Source organism: Homo sapiens, chromosome 12 (assembly GCF_000001405.40).
Source record: "Homo sapiens chromosome 12, GRCh38.p14 Primary Assembly".
NCBI classification, from domain to species: domain Eukaryota; kingdom Metazoa; phylum Chordata; class Mammalia; order Primates; family Hominidae; genus Homo; species Homo sapiens.
In genome coordinates this window covers 113,391,783-113,410,871 of record NC_000012.12, presented here as the reverse complement: position 1 = coordinate 113,410,871, position 19,089 = coordinate 113,391,783, and the positions used below count along the sequence as shown (strand labels likewise).

General features: G+C 50.5%; 1 protein-coding gene across 1 annotated transcript, besides 3 other annotated features; it reads left to right on the top strand.

The window, feature by feature from the left end:
* Positions 1 to 6,984: 6,984 nt before the first annotated feature.
* Positions 6,985 to 18,427, top strand: SDS (serine dehydratase). Its single transcript, NM_006843.3, has 8 exons — positions 6,985 to 7,104; positions 11,162 to 11,316; positions 11,721 to 11,760; positions 12,026 to 12,165; positions 12,266 to 12,357; positions 13,480 to 13,707; positions 16,856 to 16,980; positions 17,723 to 18,427. The coding sequence occupies exons 2-8, from the start codon at positions 11,164 to 11,166 to the stop codon at positions 17,929 to 17,931; spliced, it is 987 nt and encodes a 328-aa protein (NP_006834.2). The 5' UTR covers positions 6,985 to 7,104; positions 11,162 to 11,163; the 3' UTR covers positions 17,932 to 18,427.
* Positions 8,547 to 9,046: an enhancer, noted in NCBI's record as "H3K4me1 hESC enhancer chr12:113839631-113840130 (GRCh37/hg19 assembly coordinates)". NCBI's record gives its function as "activates a minimal SCP1, AML or CMV promoter by ChIP-STARR-seq in primed H9 embryonic stem cells {active_cell/tissue: H9 hESC(primed)}" and the evidence as "EXISTENCE:reporter gene assay evidence [ECO:0000049][PMID:30033119]".
* Positions 9,047 to 9,548: an enhancer, noted in NCBI's record as "H3K4me1 hESC enhancer chr12:113839129-113839630 (GRCh37/hg19 assembly coordinates)". NCBI's record gives its function as "activates a minimal SCP1, AML or CMV promoter by ChIP-STARR-seq in primed H9 embryonic stem cells {active_cell/tissue: H9 hESC(primed)}" and the evidence as "EXISTENCE:reporter gene assay evidence [ECO:0000049][PMID:30033119]".
* Positions 17,459 to 17,658: an enhancer, noted in NCBI's record as "active region_7074". NCBI's record gives its function as "activates an Ori minimal core promoter by ATAC-STARR-seq in GM12878 lymphoblastoid cells {active_cell/tissue: GM12878}" and the evidence as "EXISTENCE:reporter gene assay evidence [ECO:0000049][PMID:35858748]".
* Positions 18,428 to 19,089: the final 662 nt, after the last annotated feature.

The window sequence follows — 19,089 nt, the reverse complement described above, 5'->3', positions numbered from 1 at the left end:
TTTGTATTTTTTGTAGAGACAGGGTTTCACATGTTGCCTAGGCTGGTCTCGAACTCCTGGGCACAAGTGATCCTCCCACCTTGGCCTCCCACAGTGCTGGGATTATAGGTGTGAGCCACCACGCCCAGCCTGATACATTCTTGGTGAAGCAAATGGAACAACATGCAGAGGTCTAGAGAGTTCGTCATCTTGTCCCTACCAGTTGCAGCTCCAAATCCATCTCCCCCCCCCCATATTCAATCATGACACTGGAGTGTAAATTAATTTGGTGGTGTAAGATAGTGAATTGCTGTCTTCCTTCAGTCTGAACTCCCTGACTTCGTGGGTAACCTCATGTGGAGATATCATCAAAACCCTAAATCTGAGACCTCTGAAGGTTACCAGGCAGGCAAGCTCTCCCACCCCCTTCCTGCTCAACCCTTTCCACTGACCCTGTGTCCTCAAAGGACTCAGGATTCCTGAGCTGACCTTCCTCTACTGCCATTCACTACCTGGTGCTCCCATGGACACTTTTACCCAACCTCTGAGCCTATTCGTCACCTGTACCTTGAGAATCAAAATGCCCATTCCTGTGGTTGTCTGGGGCTTATGAGAGACCCCACCTGGGAAACATAAGGCATGGGATCGGGCACTGGGAGGTGCTCCAGCAATGGGAGCACCAGCTGTATACACTCAGGTGCACACGAGGGAGGCTCTGTCTCCACGTGAACTTCGCCATCCCCGCCTCCCCCTAGGTTTGCCACCCCTCATCCCCAAAACTCACCCATGGATGCTCCACTGGGGAGGGAGCCTGGGAGCGCCATGGAAGGTCAGAGGGGGCCAGGGAGAGGTGACAGCTTGTCCCACAGAGGACGACGGCTGAGCAGGCTGTTTGTACCCTGGTTGCCCTCTGTCTCATCAATATTCTCGTCCTGGCCAGCTTGACAAGAGAGCTTTGTTGAGGGGGCCAGGGAGAGAGCCAGCCAGACAGACCTCTGTGCATGTGTATGGTGTGTGTGTGTGTATGTGTGTGCTGCCCTGTGGACAGACAGATCTCCGCACAGCTGGGAACAAACAAGAGGCTTGGCATGGGGCATGGAGAGTTTTCAGATGCAAGACCTTCCAGTTCTGTGATGATGATGATGATGATGACGATGACGATGGCTGCTAACTTACCAAACACTCAGTCAATTCGAGGCCCCTCTCACACATGCATTGTCAAGTCACCTAAGCCTAGAAGGGAGGTACCATTATCATTCCCATTTCACAGATAAGCAAATCGAGGCTCCAGAAGGCAGAATAGCTTGTCCATTGCCACACAGCTAGGAAACAACAGAGCCAGGATTTGAACCCTGCTCCCCTGGGGTCTTACCCCCCCCCCCCCACCCCTTCATGCCAAAGGTCATAAAAGGATGAGGGGGGAAGGCAATACAGAACTGCTCTGCTTGGCGGTTTTTAGTTTTTTTTTAATTTTAAAAAATTTTGGTGGGTACACAGTAGGTGTATATACTTATGGGGTATATTGATGGGGTAAGAAACTTTTTTTTTTTTTTTGAGACAGAGTCTCACTCTGTCACCCAGGCTGGAGTGAAGTGGTGCAATCTCAGCTCACTGCAACCTCCTCCTCCCGGGTTCAAGCAACTCTCTTGCCTCGGCCTCCCGAGTAGCTGAGATTACAGGTGCCCGTCACCACATCCCACTAATTTTTGTATTTTTAGTAGAGACAGGGTTTCACCATGTTGCCCAGGCTGGTCTCGAACTCCTGACCTCAAGTGATCGGCTTGCCTCAGCCTCTCAAAGTGCTGGGATTACAGGAGTGAGCCACCGCACCCAGCCTGTTTTGGATTGCAGGTTTAGGAGCAGACTGCCTGGGTTCTGAGGCCAGCTCCTCCCTCTTATTGCCTGGGTGATCTTGGGCAAATGACAATCTCATGTGCCTGTTTCCCTTTCTGTAAGATGGAGATAATAACAGTACCCGCGTCCTCTGTGGTTTGGTACTTGCTGAGGGCTCAGTGGCTGTTAGACATTCTAGCTTTATTACTGTTATTGTTTCTTGGGCACCTACTACGTGCCAAGCACATGCTAGCAACTTTAAGTGCATTATCTCACACAATCCTTATTCCATTTTCCTAACGGTCCTTGGAAAATAGATATTGTCCCCATTTGCAAGTGAAGAAACTATAAATCAAGAAGTATCAGGCCGGGCTCAGTGGGTCATGCCTGTAATCCAGCACTTTGGGAGGCCAAGGTGGGCAGATCACTTGAGGTCAGGAGTTCGAGACCAGCCTGGTCAACATGGTGAAACCCCGTCTCCACCAAAAATACAAAAAATTAGCAGGGCATGGTGGTGGGTGCCTGTAATCCCAGCTACTCAGGAGGCTGAGGCAGGAGAATTGCTTGGACCCAGGAGGCAGAGGTTGCAACAACCCAAGATCTCACCACTGCACTCCAGGCTGGGCAACAGGGTGACTCCATCTCAAAAAAAAAAAAAAAAAAGGAAGTATCTGAGGCAGTTCTCAATCGATTTAAAAGTTTATTTTGCCAAGGTTAAGGGCAAGGGCACAACCAGAAGACAGGTCCTTGCCTTTCTCCATAGATGATTTTACGTCTTCAATATTTAAAGGGGAAAAGCAGGCTGGAAGCTGGAAGGAAAAGAAAGAGGGTACGGTCACACTACTGAACCCACATGTTTCAAGAGAAGAGGAGCAGGTAGGGGAATAGTCAGTTATGTGTTTGTCTCATATTTAAGCTTCTACTGTAGCTCTCTGCTTAGGAACGAAAGGAAAGGCCGCTTCTTGCATGACTCAGCTTCCAGCTCAATTTTGGCAGAGTGAATTGGTGTCCCAAGTTTTGTGAATCCTGAGAAAGCATTTGGGCTCACAGTCTCTATTTTTCTGATAAAGTATCTGATTTAAGTACTTTTTTCTTTAAATCATTTCATTAGAGCTCTGTTGTCTATTTTTAGTAGTAACATTAGATACATGTATTAGACACAGACAGAGGTAGATCTTATAAATTCATAAGACTTCCTTTTTTTTCCTCCTATTTAAGACTTTGAATTTCTTTTTCTTTTCTTCTTTGTTTCTTTCTTTTTTTTTTTTTTTTCTGAGACAGGGTCTCACTCTGTTGCCCAGGCAGGAGTGCAGTGGTGTGGGCATGGCTCACTGCAGCCTCAACCACTCAGGCTCAAGTGATCCTCCCACCTCAGCCTTCCAAGTAGCTTGGACTATAGTTGCATGCCACCATACCCAGCTAATTTTTTATTTTTTGTAGAGATGGGGTCTCACTATGTTGCCCAAGCTGGTGTCAAACTCCTGGGCTTAAGCCATCCTCCCACCTAGGCCTCCCAACATGCTGGAATTAGTGCTAGTCACCCTACGCCCAGCCCAACCTCTAATTTCTGGATAACCTGTTTCATTACCCTAGGCAACTGCCAGCTAGATAGCCTTAAATTTACATACTAAATAAACAACTCTTAGATGAAAATCAGATAGCAAAATGTTTATCTCAAAGTAGAGAAAGAGAGAAAAGAGAGTCTGGGTGTGTTAGAGAGATTTAAAATGGATGCCACAGCTGGCATGGTGGCTGACACCTGTAATCCCAACACTTTAGGAGGCTGAGATGGGAGGATGGCTCGACCTCCTCCCATCTCAGGAGTTCAAGACCAGCTTGGGAGGCTGAGGTGGGAGGATTGTTTGAGCCTGGGAAGTCAAGGCTGCAGTGAGCCATGATCGCACCACTGTACTCCAGCCTGAGCAACAGAGTCTCAAAAAAAAAAAAAAAAGCAAATCAAATCAAACATTAAGTTATAGAAATCTATCAAATAAATATATTTTATTTAGATAGGTAGTTTTACATTTAGTTTCTATCTTTTAACTGGAACTCAGAGCTCTGGACAGAGCCCACACTGAATCCCGGGTCTCCAAAGAGAATGATATGGTGGACCTAGGCTGTGTGATGCTTTTACAGTGTACTTTGTTGCAAAGACATTTCTCTAAGGGTCTAAACCATACTCTCTCTTATCTTTAAAAAAAATTTTTTTATATATAACTAGGCCCACACATCCAGACCCTCTCCTGTTTTAAACATTCAAGAGTAGCCCCTGTTGTAATAAAGATTTTAGTCAAAAAAGAAGTCAGGTAACACACAACAAAAGCAAGCAGTTGAAGATCTGAGAGGAACTTATCTGTTTATATTCTTAGGGCTCCATAAGGTTATGGAAAAACAGAGGTTTCTCCCCAAAAAGGAGTCTGGCACTTTCTCTGTTTTCCTTAAGGGAGTCCCAAGCTGTTAGAAATTATTTTAGGTTCCTTGAGCTGTAGAGGGTGGCAAGAGAAAGGAGACAGGCAGAAGTAAATTGGAAAAAACAGAAATCAGTCAACTGAGAAGAAAAAAGAAAACTTTTTCTCAAAAAACAAGATCCTGGCCAAGTGGGGCGGCTCTCACCTGTAATCCCAGCACTGTGGGAGCCTAAGGCCGGTGAATAACTTGAGGCCAGGAGTTCAAGACCCGCCTGGCCAACATGGTGAAATCCTGTCTCTACTAAAAATACAAAAACAATAGCCCAGTGTGGTGGTGTGCGCCTGTAATCCCAGCCACTTGGGAGGCTGAGGCAGGAGAACCACTTGAACCCAGGGAGTGGAGGTTGCAGTGAGCTGAGATCATGCCACTGCACTCTAGCCTGGACGACAGAGTAAGACTCCATCTCAAAAAAAAAACAGATCCTAAGAGAGAAAAAAATGCATTAAGGCCCTATGAATAAATAAATAAATAAATACACACACACACACACACACACACACATCTTAGATATTCGCCTTTAATTAAGCTTTTAACCATTGAGCTCTTTAAAAAATCCTTTTAAATCTCATCACCATATTTTAGCTGGGACAAACTGCTAATATTTCAAAAGTAACACAAACATCAAACCAGAAAGGACTTGATTTAGGAACCAAGCCCAGGCCACGGTGGTGAAAAAGGAACAGAATCTTAGCTACTGAACTAGCGTGAGGTGACAGCCATGTAGCCTCTTTCAGTTTGGCTTGGCTAGCAAAAGATGGCCTTGTTATGTAAATAATGCCCCTCAGGTAATCAAAATCCTTGTCTCTCTCTCTCTTTTTTCTTTTGCTGGCTGTTTTTTCTTTTTCCTTTTTTTTTTTTTCCAGCTGTGGGTATTTAGCCAATTCATGAGACCTTGTTCGCCATAATATGAAACTTTCCTTCAGATTTGACCAAGTCAAATGGAGTTGGTCCAGTCCAATGGGGAAAAGACAGAAGCAACAAAACAACAACAGAAACAAAAACAGTTAAGCAAGGGAAACAAACAATCAAGCAATTTATACGATTACTGCACGCTCTAAAAGTAGGGAGAAATTAAGACCAGCTGGTTGTTAACCCTAACTTCTAGTCATGGGGCCCAGGCTGAAGACCGCTCTCTACCATCCTAGAAGCGGGGAAATCTCAAACTTGCCTTCCCTGCCGGACACAAGCGAAACTCCAGAAAGGAGCTGCCTGCTTGCCATCATCATGGAAGCCAGAAAACTCACCTTCCTTGTTGGAAGTGAGTAAAACGCAGAAAAGGAGCTGTTCAGGGAAATCAAGCTTAGATATCAACCAATTGTGGGAGATCAGGAGTTCTCTGGAGGTGGGGAGCTCCCAGGCCTCAGCAAACTGTCCTATTTTGGAGGGCAATCAAGATCGCTCAAGGCCGGCATGGTGGCTCACGCCTGTAATCCCAGCACTCTAGGAGACTGAGGCGGGTGGATCACTTGAGGTCAGGACTTCAAGACCAGCCTGGCTAACATGGTGAAACCCCATCTCTACTAAAAATACAAAAAATTAGCTGAGTGTGGTGGCACATGCCTATACTCCCAGTTATTTGGGGGGTTGAAACAGGAGCATCGCTTGAACCCAGGAGATGGAGGTTGCAGTGAGCCAAGATCATGCCATTGCACTCCAGCCAGGGTGACAGAGCAAGACCCACCAAGCACCAGTAGGAGACTTGTCAAAGGTCAGGGCCACCTCCACCCAGGGTCCCTTTCATGAGTCTCCAATCTGTAAATCAAAAAGAATCAAAAAGATTGAGACAGGACTCAATCCATTTAGAAATTTATTTCGCCAGGGTTAAGAATGCACCTGGGAGACAGGTCTGTGCTTTTCTCCAGAGATGACTTTAGGTGTCAGTATTTAAAGGAGAAAAGCAAGCTGGAGGGGAAAGAAGGAGGCTATGGCCACATTACCAAATCCACAGTTTGTAAGAGAAGAGGGGCAGATAGGGAAGTAGCCAATTATGTATTTGTCTTGATCTCAATAAATCGGCACTTTACATAAGATAAGGTGAACATAGAGTAGCGACCTGTGGAGATATTTAACTTTTTTTTTTCTTTCTGTTGTGAAGGCTGGAGTGCAGTGGCGAGATCTAGTCTCACTGTAACCTCTGCCTCCCAGGTTCAAGCAATTCTTGTGCCTCAGCCTCCTGAGTAGCTAGGATTACAGGCACGTGCCACCACACCCGGCTGATTTTTGTATTTTTAGTAGAGACGGGATTTCACCATGTTGGCCAGGCTGGTTTCGAATTCCTGACCTCAGGTGATCCACCCGCCTCGGCCTCCCAAAATGCGGAGCCAATATTTAACCTTTCATCTGAAGCTATCTGCTTAGGAACTAAAGGAAAGGCAGTTTCTTACATGACTCAGCTTTTAGCTTAATTCTTTTTCTTTTGGCATAGTGAGTTGGGGGTCCCAATTTTTTATTTTCCTTTCACGAAACTGAGGACAGAAAGGGGAAGTGGAAAGAGGGAGGAGGAGTGGGTTGTGGGAAAGGCAGGAGGAAGCTGCCAAAGAAGAAAGCTTGGCCAGATTCCACCTCCCTTCTGACAGCCTCAGTGGCCTCAAGCCAGGGGGGTGGGTCCTGGCAGGAGGGAGGGGGGGGTGTAGCCAGCCCCAGGGCCCCATTGGCTGCCCAGAGGTGCCAGAGGAATAAAGCCCAGGACCAAGTAGCCCCTGGGACCATTCAGAAGACTGTCCACCCGTCCTCAGCCCCCTCTCTTCGTGGGCTATCTACTCAGTTGATCCCTCCCTCGCTGGCTTGGCTCTGACTCCTGCTCAGACCCATCACCTTTGCCGGGTAAGTGGCCCCATCCTCAGTCCCACCTCAGGACTGGAGTGTCCCGGGCTAGCCTGTGGTTTCCCAGGGGAAGAGGGAGACATAGAAAGAGTCTGTCAAGGCTGGGCATGGTGGCTGATGCCTGTAATCCCAACACTTTGGAAGGCTGAGGTGGGAGGGTTGCTTGAGGCCACAAGTTCAAGACTGAGCTGGGCAACAGAGTGAGACCCCCCCCAATCTCTACAAAAAAAATTTTTTTTTTTTAAGACAGAGGTCTCACTCTGTCACCCAGGCTGAAGTGCAATGGCACAATCTGGGCTCACTGCAACCTCCACCTCCTGGGTTCAAGCGATTCTCCTGCCTCAGCCTCCCGAGTAGCTTGGACTACAGGCGTGTGCCACCACGCCCGGCTAATTTTTGTATTTTTAGTAGAGATGGGGTTTCACCATGTTGGCCAGGCTGGTCTCGAACTCCTGACCTAAAAAAAGAATTTAATTAGTATAGTGTGGTGGTGCACACCTGTAGTCCCAGCTACTGGGAAGGCTGAGTTGGGAGGATCGCTGGAGCCCAAGAGGTCGAGTCTGCAGTGAGCAATTATTGCGCCCCTGCACTCCAGCCTGGGTGACACAGCAAGACCTTGTCTCAAATTTTTAAAAAACAGCCATTTGGGCCTAAACACTGAGTTTGTGTCCAGTTCTGTGCCTCAGCTTCCACATCTGTAGAATGGGGATGAGCATAGCGCCTTCCTCCTCAGGTGGTTGTGACGGTGAAAGGATGACCTGCACTTAAGGTGTCCAGCCCAGATTTCATAATAGTTCATATCGACTGAGCACTTACTGTGAACCAAGTGAAAGGGAAGGTGGCTTCCGACTGCCGGAGTGGGCAGACAGCGGCTTCAGGGCTCCCTCCCTCCTCCTCCCCGGGCACAACCTCTTCTGAAGTCTTGCGATCCTTGGGGCAGGGATCCTTGGGGCAGGCTGGATGCAGTTAATGGATGCTCACTTCACGGAAAGCCGCGGCAGAGGGAGCCCTGTCCTTTTACCTGAAGGCATCCCATGGCACCGCCTGGGACAAACGGCGAGAGAGGCGCCCCAAACCCACCTGAAAAGGGTCTTCGTGGCCGGCTCCTCTGACTCCCACCCCGATTGTCCCTGAGGCCAGGCCTTGGTGACCTACACCGGCCTTTAATGTCAAGTCAGTCGGTGTGGTGGCTCACGCCTGTAATCCCAGCACTTTGGGAGGCCAAGGCAGGCAGATGACTTGAGGTCAGGAGTTCGAGACCAGCCTGCCCAATATGGTGAAACCTTGTCTCCACTAAAAATGCAAAAATTATTCGGGCGTGGTGGTGCACGTCTGTGATCCCAGCTACTTGGGAGGCTGAGGCAGGAAAATCGCTTGAACCCAGAAGGCGGAGGTTGCAGTGAGCCGAGATCATGCCGCTGCACTCCAGCCTGGGTGACAGAGGGAGGTTCTCTAAAAATAACTAAATAAAAACCGGGATCCCATTGTTTGGGGATTAACCTCCAGGAGCTGAAAGTTCATGCCGATTTGGGGATGTCCTGTTTTGAAGTTTGCCCCAGTCTCTGATTTTTATTCGAGAGATCCAGCGGAGAGAGGGTGTCTGTTCAAGTTCCCCTCCCAGGCCCCGAATGTCAGTTAATTCAGATAGACAAGGGGTGACCTATTTAGGGGATGCTAAGTCTGGCGGGGCAGTTGGAATCCCCACCCCTCATTCTCCCTCTGACCAAGGGATGTCTGGCTCATTCTGGGAGCGGGGGATGGATGTCCAAGCTAGGAGTGCCCAGGACAGGGGGCTGGACAAGGTGGCATTGGAGATGGGTCTCTGGCTAGCCACCCTTGCCTGGCCTTCTGGGATGGTGGAGGGAGGGGGAACCAGAGAGCCCCTTGGCCATCGTCAGCTGATCTCTTCTGGCCCGGCCCAAGTTGAGGAGAATCAAATCCTCCCTGAGACTCTCAGCAGAAGGCAGGGGAGATGGGAAGGCTGGGTGGGTGGACGTGGCTGTGGCTAGACCCCGGGCCACCCCAGCTGCTTCATCCCCCAGAGCCCATCCAGAAGCAGGAGCCTGAGCCACACCCATGGGTCGCAGAGAGAGCCTGAGCCCTGGAGCCAGCTGCCCGAGTTCAAATCCTGCCTCCCTGCCTCACTCACAGCGTGACTTTGGGCAAATTATGTTAATATTCCCCTTCCTGTTGCTGTGTACCAAACTACCCCAAAATGTGACTTAAAACAACAGCAAGCCAGGTGCTGTGGCTCATGCCTGTAATCCCAGCAGTTTGGGAGGCTGAGGTGGGCAGAACGCTTGAGGCCAGGAGTTGGAGACCAGCCTGGCCAACATAGCAAAACCCCATCTCTACTGGAATGAATGAATGAATGAATGAATGAATGAATGAATAAAATTTAAAAGCTGTGATTAGTCACTGCTATAATAATTATGACAAAATTAATAATTATGAAAGAGCTTTTCCTAACTGAATATTGGGCTTCCCAAAAGTTAGGTTATTTTGTTTTTTTTTAAATAAATATTTATTGAACATCTACTATGAGTCAGGCATTTTGCTGGGTCCTGGGATCGTCCATTTAAGCCAAGATACTTGGAACTGCATGTCAGAAGAGCCAGCTGCCAGGTTGTTTTTGTTTGTTTGTTTGTTTGTTTGAGACAGAGTCTCGATCTGTAGACGAGGCTGGAGTGCAGTGGCGCGATCTCGGCTCACTACAAGCTCCGCCTCCCGGGTTCACGCCATTCTCCTGCCTCAGCCTCCCAAGTAGCTTGTATTTTTAGTAGAGACGGGGTTTCACCATGTTAGCCAGGATGGTCTCGATCTCCTGACCTCGTGATCCGCCCGCTTCGGCCTCCCAAAGTGCTGGGATTACAGGTGTGAGTCACCGCGCCCAGCCCAGGTTTTTTTTAAATGTATGCATTTAAGTAAGTAATAGAGGCACATGGTAAAACATCAAACTGTGCAAAAGGTGGGTGCTATGATCCCGAGGGCCAGCTCTCCTCAGAGGCCCCACCCTGGCCAGCCTGTCATGCATGTTTCCTGAAATGCTCTGTGCACATGGAAACATGTGGAACAAAACAAAAAAAAATTCAAATAAAAAAATTAAAAAAATATATAAAAGAAACATGTGGACTATATGTGTGTGTGGATGGATTGTGCGTGTGTGTGGATGGATTGTGTGTGGGAGTGGATCGTGTGTGTGTGGATGGAGTATGTGTGTGTGGATGGATTATCTGTGTGTGTGGGTGTCCCTGAATTTTTCACATAGATAGATAGACTATTCTTTTTTTTTTTTGAGACACAGTCTCACTCTGTTGCCCAGGCTGGAGTGCAGTGGCTCGATCTTGGCCCATTACAACCTCCACCTCCTCGGTTCAAGTGATGCTCCTCCCTCAGCCTCCTGAGTAGCTGAGATTACAGGTGCCTGCCACCATGCCTGGCTAATTCTCTTTCTTCTTCTTTTTTTTTTTTTTCTCAAGACAGAGTCTTGCTCTGTCACCCAGGCAGGAGTGCAATGGCGCGATCTCGCTCACTGCAACCTCCGCCTCCTGGGTTCAAGTGATTCTCCTGCCTCAGCCTCCTAAGTAGCTGGGGTTACAGGCGTGCGCCACCATGCCCAGCTAATTTTTTGTATTTTTAGTAGAGACGGGGTTTCACCATGTTGGCCAGGCTGGTCTCGAACTTCTGACCTTGTGATCCACCAGCCTTGGCCTCCCAAAGTGCTGGTATTACATGCATAAGCCACTGTGCCCGGCCTCACCTCATGCATTTTGAAAGCTCCAAGGTTTGAGTGTTCTCTCTTCAGCCTCCCAGCAAATGTGTGAGAGGTCAGGAGTGGAGGGTGATCCCTGATAGAGCTGAGGCCAAGGCGTGATTACCTGTCTGATGTCACATGGTGAGTAGGTGGCCCACTTGCGATTAGAGCCCAGGTCTCCAGGATGCTCTCTCGTCTGAGGCCTTGCTTGGCTTGCTGGGAAGCGAAGGAAGGGATCACTCTGGCAGTGCTGGCACCGGGGCTAGCTCTCCTAACCCTCTGGGTTTCCTTCCTTTCTCCCAGGAATGATGTCTGGAGAACCCCTGCACGTGAAGACCCCCATCCGTGACAGCATGGCCCTGTCCAAAATGGCCGGCACCAGCGTCTACCTCAAGATGGACAGTGCCCAGCCCTCCGGCTCCTTCAAGATCCGGGGCATTGGGCACTTCTGCAAGAGGGTACGGGACCGGGTCAGCATTATCTGGGCAGGGGTGGCAGGTCCTCCTTCCTCAACAGGGCAGGGCCAGTGCTGTGTGAAATTAAAGGCGTTGTAGGATAAGCCTACTGACTCCCCGCAAGGACTGAGCGTCCACCATTAGGGCTTCCTCTGTTTGAGGGGTGCCCTTCCAGGAGGGTTCCTTGGGACTGATCCCAGAGCCATCAGTCGCCTATTTTCCTCCACCCTTTCCTGAGCCAGTCTCTTTGGAGATGGGAGGTGCAGTCTCAGACAAGGGTAGAACAAATTCTGAGTGAAGGAAACGTCCGTGTCCACTGGAATCCTGGCAGGTATTCCAGGTGGGGAGGAAGAGCACAGGCAATGACTGGGAGGTGGGCCTGAGTGCCTCTCCTGTTGTCTCCACAGTGGGCCAAGCAAGGCTGTGCACATTTTGTCTGCTCCTCGGGTAAGTGATCTGCTTCCCCATCCTGTCCTCTGCTGTGTGTCCTGGGATCAGACACTCTGCTTCTCTGAGCCCTGGTTTCCCCAGCAATGTGCCACTGAAAACAATGGCAGCAGCCACCAATTTGGAATTCCAGGGGGAGGCCAGCAGTCGCCCAGGGTGGGGAGGTGAGGGGGGAACTCCAGAGCCCCCAGTAGAGGGTACGCAGTCCTGCCTGGGCTCCCAGATGCTCCCGCACTGACACGCTCTCCACCCCCGACCCTGGCAGCGGGCAACGCAGGCATGGCGGCTGCATATGCGGCCAGGCAACTCGGCGTCCCCGCCACCATCGTGGTGCCCAGCACCACACCTGCTCTCACCATTGAGCGCCTCAAGAATGAAGGTGCCACAGTCAAGGTGGTGGGTGAGGTGAGTGCCGACCCAGGGCAAGGAAGAGAGAGGGCGCCTGGTGGCTGGACAGGGTGCCCCCTGTGCCTCACCCCCTCCTATCTCCCCTGTGGCTTTGCAGTTATTGGATGAAGCCTTCGAGCTGGCCAAGGCCCTAGCGAAGAACAACCCGGGTTGGGTCTACATTCCCCCCTTTGATGACCCCCTCATCTGGTATGTGGAGTTCAAGGTCACTTGGTGGGGGTGGCAGCCACTGCCCTATATCACTGGGCAGGCATTGCTATGATGCACATCATCACGTCCTCATGCACAGCAGCTGCACATGTGTGCGCACACCACCATGTAGAAGCACACTTAGGCGGGGCACAGTGGCTCACGCCTGTAATCCCAGCACTTTGGGAGGCCAAGGTGGGAGGATCACTTGAGGTCAGGTGTTTGAGACCAGTCTGGCCAACATGGGGAAACCCCATCTCTACTAAAAATACAAAAATTACCTGTACTTGGTGACACACGCCTGTAATCCCAGCTCCTAGGGAGACTAAGGCAGGAGAATCGCTTGAACCCAGGAGGTGGAAGTTGCAGTGAGCCATGATCACGCCACTGCACTCCAGCCTGGGCAAGAGAGTGAGACTCCATCTCAAAAAAAAAAACAAAAAAAAAAAAAAAGAAGAAACACACGTTACACCCAGGTGCAGCAGCAAGTGCACACATGTCACCAAATGCCCATTATCCACGGCTGCACATGCAACACACCCAAGGCTGAACATGCAAGCACACAGATGCCCAAGTGTCTGCAGTTGAGTCCTCCTGGAAGCAGACTTGGGGACAAAGGTTTCAGGGAAAGGAGTTTATTTGGGAGGTGATTCAGTGGGGGAGTGGGGAAGTAAGCCAGGGAAGGAAGGGGGCTTTGCTGTTTCTTTTTTCTTTTTCTATCATCCAGTCCAAAATGTCAGGAAGGGGGCTTTCAAAGGCAGGTGGCCGCTGTGGGTGGCTAGAGCTTAATCCCTCGGGGACCCTGGGAGCCAGTGCAGAAGGCGCACAGCAGTTTCCCGCCCCCTGGGAGAAGGAGCAGGGGAGTTTGTACACCGACTCGTAGCCATTGGTTGAGGGCTGCCTTAAGGGGCTGCCATCTCCTGACTCTGTTTGCAGGTAGCTCAGGTGGCCAGAGAAGGTCCTCAGGCAGAGACACAGATGCTGGCAGCTAGAAGCCAAGGTTGGGGGTGGGGAGGGAACTAGCTCCAGGCCCCATCAGCTGGGATAAGGCCGGTGCAAACCTGAGCTGGTGTCTCCAGGAAGCCTAGCCCTGACCTGCCACCCCCTCTCCCCACCCTCCAGGGAAGGCCACGCTTCCATCGTGAAAGAGCTGAAGGAGACACTGTGGGAAAAGCCGGGGGCCATCGCGCTGTCAGTGGGCGGCGGGGGCCTGCTGTGTGGAGTGGTCCAGGGGCTGCAGGAGGTGGGCTGGGGGGACGTGCCTGTCATCGCCATGGAGACTTTTGGTGCCCACAGCTTCCACGCTGCCACCACCGCAGGCAAACTTGTCTCCCTGCCCAAGATCACCAGGTGAGCAGCTGGGGTGCCTCCCTCGGGTGTCCAGCAAGCACTGGGGAGTCCCCCTTAGGGCTGGCTTTGAGATAGATCCTGATGTCAGCCTGTTTCACAGATGAGACAATGGAGGCTTTGATCGCTTGCCCAGGGCCACGTCCAGTGAGTGGTACAGCTTGGACTCAAACCCAAGTCTGTGTGACTCCAACATGTCACACTTCCTCACGTGAAAAGCCTCATATGAGGCTGGGCACAGTGACTTGTGCCTGTAATCCCAGCACTTTGGGTGGCTGAGGCAGGAAGATCACTTGAGGCCAGGAGTTCAAGACCAGCCTGAGCAACATAGAGAGATTCCCACCTCTAAAAAAAGTTTTTTGTTTTTTTTTTAAATTAACTGGGCGTGGTAGCACACACGCATAGTCCCAGGCTAAGGTGGGAAGGATTGCTTAAGCCCAGGAGACTGAGGCTGTAGTGAGCCATGATCATGCCAGTGCACTCCAGCCTGGGTGACAGAGCAAGACCCTGTCTAGAAACAAAGAAAAAGGAAGGAAGGGAGAGAGGGAGGGAGGGAGGAAGGGAGGGAAGGAAGGAAGGAAGGAAGGAAGGAAGGAAGGAAGGAAGGAAGGAAGGAAGGAAGGGAGAGAGGGAGGGAGGGAGGGAAAGAAGGAAGGAAGGAGAAAGGAAGAGGAAAGAAAGAGAGAGAAAGAAAGAAAAAAGGAGAAAGAGAAAGAGAGAAAGAAAAAGAAAGAGAAAGAAAGAGAGAAAGAAAGAAAAAAGAGAAAGAAAGGAAGAAAGAAAGAAAAAGAGAGAAAGAGAAAGAAAGGAAAGGAAAGGAAAGGAAAAAGGGAGGGAGGGAGGAAGGAAGGAAGGAAGGAAGGTCTCATAGGAATCATTTACTGAGTCCTCTGTGGCAAGGTTTTACATACCTCATTACTTTGCCAACCATTTACTGAGCCCCTATTGTGTGTAAGACACTGGCTGATCTGGGGAGAGAGTGGTGCATAAACACAAGTCTTGCTCCTAAGGAGTTCATATCCAAGCCCCAAACCTTTGATAGTTTGTTTGTTTTTGTCTTTGTTTTTTGAGACAGAGTTTCGCTCTTGTTGCCCAAGCTGGAGTGCAATGGTACAATCTCAGCTCACCGCAACCTCTGCCTCCCAAGTTCAAGCGATTCTCCTGCCTCAGCCTCAGGAGTAGGCGTCTGCCCCAACACTTGGCTAATTTTGTATTTTTAGTAGAAATGGGGTTTTACCGTGTTAGCCAGGCTAGTCTCGAACTCCTCACCTCAGGTGATCTGCCCACCTCAGCCTCCCAAAGTGCTGGGATTACAGGCGTGAGCCACCGCACCCGGCTGGTAGATAGTATTTAATTAGGATTAGGTTTTGACCCCATTACACAGAAGGCCCAAATAACAGTGACTTAAATGAGATTGAACTTTACCATGAAAAGTCAGGGCGCCAGGTCCCTTGAGTTTGTTTCCCCATTATCCTTAGCATGTAGTGTTTCAGTCCAAAATGGTTGCCTGAGTGCCAGCTATCACACCCACATTCCATTTGGCAGGGATGGGGAAGCAAGGGCAGAAGGCTATGCTCCAACCTTCAAAGACAGACACAACACTTCCACTTACCTTTCGTTGGCCTGAACTTAGTCACATGGCCACATCCAGCTGCAAGGGAGGCTGGGAAATGTCTTTACACCAGGTGCCCATAAGTGCAGCTAGAAAAGACACCGGGGCAGACAATAGTCTCCCCTACAGATAGGGAAGACTGAGCCCAGCCAGGTAAGAACTTCTTCCAGATTCCTGAGCCTGGCATCTGGAGCTGCTGTGTCCCACACTGTAGGGACTGAAGACGTCATGGCTGAGCGCCTACTGTAAACCACGTGCTGCTGAGGGCTGAGGTGGCTCAGGCCCTCAAGATGCTCCTGGGGAAGGGAGAGGGGGCAGCTGAGCTGGGAATAGAGCTAGTGGTCACCCCAGGAAGCTGGGGACAGCGTCAACACATTGGTTACCAGTGCAGGTCTTGAAGTTATACAGATCCTGCTTGCAGCCCCAGCTCCAGCACTCCCTAGGTGTGTGACCTTGGGCAAGTGACTGTACACTCTCTGCCTCAGTTTCCCCTTTCCAAAATCAAACCAATTAACAACAGCAGAATTCTTGTGTGAATTCAATAATGCTTGTGAAGTGCTTGGCACCTAACACTTTCTCAAGAAGTACTCAGGGCGCTTGTTACTAGCAGGGAGGACTATTTGAGAATTCCACATAGGGCCGTGGGACTCAGTACTCTCCCAGGAGGACTCCTTGGAGGAGGTGGCCTTAATCCTGAGCCTTGAAGGACACAGCAGGATGTGGGCAGGCAGAGTGGTGCTAAGCTTCATGAGGGTTAACCAGGTAGCGGTTGTAACCCGGAGCAAAAGCAGGGAGTCCTAGCAGGGAACAACAAGGGTCCTCTTAGGCATTTGCTCCTGACTTAGTGTTGATCAGAATATGACGCTGTGCCGAGGCAGGAGGATCACTTGAGCCCAGGAGTTCAAGACCAGCCTGGGGTCGGGCATGGTGGCTCATGCCTGTAATCCCAGCACTTTGGAAGGCCGAGGGGGGTGGATCACCTAAGGTCAGGAATTCGAGGCCAGCCTGGTCAACATAGTGAAACCCCATCTCTACTAAAAATACAAAAATTAGCCGGGTGTGGTGGTGGGCACCTGTAGTCCCAGCTACTCGGTAGGCTGAGGCTGGAGAATTGCTTGAACCCGGGAGGCAGAGATTGCAGTGAGCTGAGATCGCACCACTGCACTCCAGCCTGGGCAACAGAGCAAGACTCCGTCTAAAAAAAAAAAAAAACAAAAAAACAACAAAAAAACAAACAAAACAAAAACCCGCCTGGGCAACATAGTGACACTCAGTCTCAAAAAAATTAAAAAAATGATACTAAAGAATATACTATATGATGTCAATTCAAACACTCTGCACCTTATTAGAAGACCCCACTTGGTTTGGGGATCCCTGAGGCTTTTCAGGGTTTTACAGCTGCAGAGGTGATACCTGTCCCCCTGCCCCCAGATGCATTGCCTTCTCTGTCTCACATCCATCTCCTTCTCTCCCTCCCTGCCCCCATCTCTCTCCTGTTTCCCCCACTCCCATCCTCTTCTGGGTTCCCACTTCTCTCAGTGTTGCCAAGGCCCTGGGCGTGAAGACTGTGGGGGCTCAGGCCCTGAAGCTGTTTCAGGAACACCCCATTTTCTCTGAAGTTATCTCGGACCAGGAGGCTGTGGCCGCCATTGAGAAGTTCGTGGGTATGTGCCAGGTCCTCCCATGACCTGACCTGCTGACTCAGGCGCTAAGTGGCTGTCCACTTGGTATGCCACTGGGGATCCCACTCACCCCAAGTTTCCTTCACAGTTCTGTCTTCCACCTCTGCCTAGAATTTTCCATTAATAGAAGATAATACAATGCCGTGTAGAAATAGAAAAGCAAAAGCCACACATAATGGAAAAGTAAATAGAAAAGTAAGCCTGATAACCATAGCAGCAGAAAACAATAAGTGAATATTTAAAATGTTGCTTCTGAGTTTCCTGGCAGCCAGGGTAAAAAAAGGAAAACATGGGGCTCAGAGTTTGATTCATTCAGAGGTGAGTCTGTAACTAGGCTGGACTCTTTCTGGGTTCCGTCTAGGGCAGGGATGGCAAAAAAGAGAGAAAAAAATAGTACCATTTATGCTTCTGTACCTGCTGCACACTTGGCTAATCAACCATGGAACTCTTGCTCAGATGATGCCTCAGAATCCTTCTCAACACAGTGCTCACGCAACCACACTCATTCTATCAGTGTTAGCACTCATGATGAAACCCAGGCCCTGGCTCAGGCTTGGAAGGGCCAATTCAGGCCGATGACGGGACGTTTGGTTCAGGACCTGCGGCTGCAGCCAGGGCTGAGAGCTGATTGGCTCAGTATTCCCAGGTCCTGCCAATGGCCTGTCAGCTCCTGTGCACCCTGGGAAACTCAGGCCACGCCCCTGTCACGCCCCTTCTCTGGCAGATGATGAGAAGATCCTGGTGGAGCCCGCCTGCGGGGCAGCCCTGGCCGCTGTCTATAGCCACGTGATCCAGAAGCTCCAACTGGAGGGGAATCTCCGAACCCCGCTGCCATCCCTCGTGGTCATCGTCTGCGGGGGCAGCAACATCAGCCTGGCCCAGCTGCGGGCGCTCAAGGAACAGCTGGGCATGACAAATAGGTTGCCCAAGTGAGGACGGACCCCTTACCGATCTGTGCTCTCCTAGCCCAAGAGACCCCTGGAGGGGCTGGAGTTTTATCCAGCGCCTCGTCGTATGTTTGGCTGAGCACCTGTGGCCTGGGTGCAGGTTAACTTCTTGTTATCAGGAGCCCACTATGCAGAGGCCAAAGGTCGGCAGCCAGCGAGGCTATGAATTGGACCTTTTTGGTATCTGTGTGACTGCTCTGTGCCCATCCTTAGCCAACTTGCTGGCGTGACAAGTGCCCACAAGTAACACACCAGGTACCCAGAGCAGGGTGGACAGGAGAGACCTGAATCACAGCAGTGAGGAATTCCTCAAAGCTGTGACCTCGCCCCTGAACTTGTTCCCAGTGAAGGTCAACAGGGCCACCAACCAGGGTTGAGGAACCATCTCAGCCATCCTCCCAGGAAGCCCACCCCTGACCCTTACTAATTTTTCTAATGTGCAAACTTTTTCATTGAAAAATAAAATATATTTATGAAACAAAGATCCTGTGCATTTTCCCATCATCAGCTGTCTCCTTTCCTGCTTTCCTTCCACCCCAAGTCTGCTCTCAGCCCCAGCTCTCAACTGGGGCCCCAGAGTGAGGCCAGGAGCCTGACTCCAGCTAGTCTTGCATGCCAGGACAGGGGCATCCCTGTACCACAGGAAGCAGGTGGCTAAACAAGAGGGACTTGGGGTGGGACAAAGGCTGCCTCCGCTGAAGGCAGAAGCAGCTGGGGAGGCCAACTTCATTCTGATATGAAGTCCTTCCTACTAAGTCAGAATTATTTCATCACAGACCCAATGGAAGCAAAGAAGTGAGGCCCCCTCCCCTGGGCGTGTGTGAGCTGACACTGGACACCCATCTCTGGGAGAGGGAAAGGGTGGGTGGACTTGAAGTCAATGTCATGCAAACCCTCCTCAAACATGGAGCCCTCTCTTCCAACAAAAGCATATGCTGAAGCCCGTATCATAGATCAAAGAGGAATTACTGGGGCTGGCTCCAGAGCATGGAGGGAACCCCACCCTCAGGGTACTTTCTGGATGACCCCAAGTTCAAACTGAAGTTTAAGAGTCACTCAGGGCTGGGCGCAGTGGCTCACGCCTGTGGGAGGATCGCTTGAGCCCAGGAGTTCAAGACCAGGCTGGTTGGCACAGTGAGACTCT

Coding starts and splice junctions, on each gene's coding strand:
- SDS (NM_006843.3), top strand. CDS start 11,164: ATGATGTCTGGAGAACCCCTGCACGTGAAGACCCCCATCCGTGACAGC. Junction 13,708..16,855: donor TCCCTGCCCAAGATCACCAG/GTGAGCAGCTGG, acceptor CACTTCTCTCAG/TGTTGCCAAGGCCCTGGGCG. Junction 16,981..17,722: donor CGCCATTGAGAAGTTCGTGG/GTATGTGCCAGG, acceptor CTTCTCTGGCAG/ATGATGAGAAGATCCTGGTG.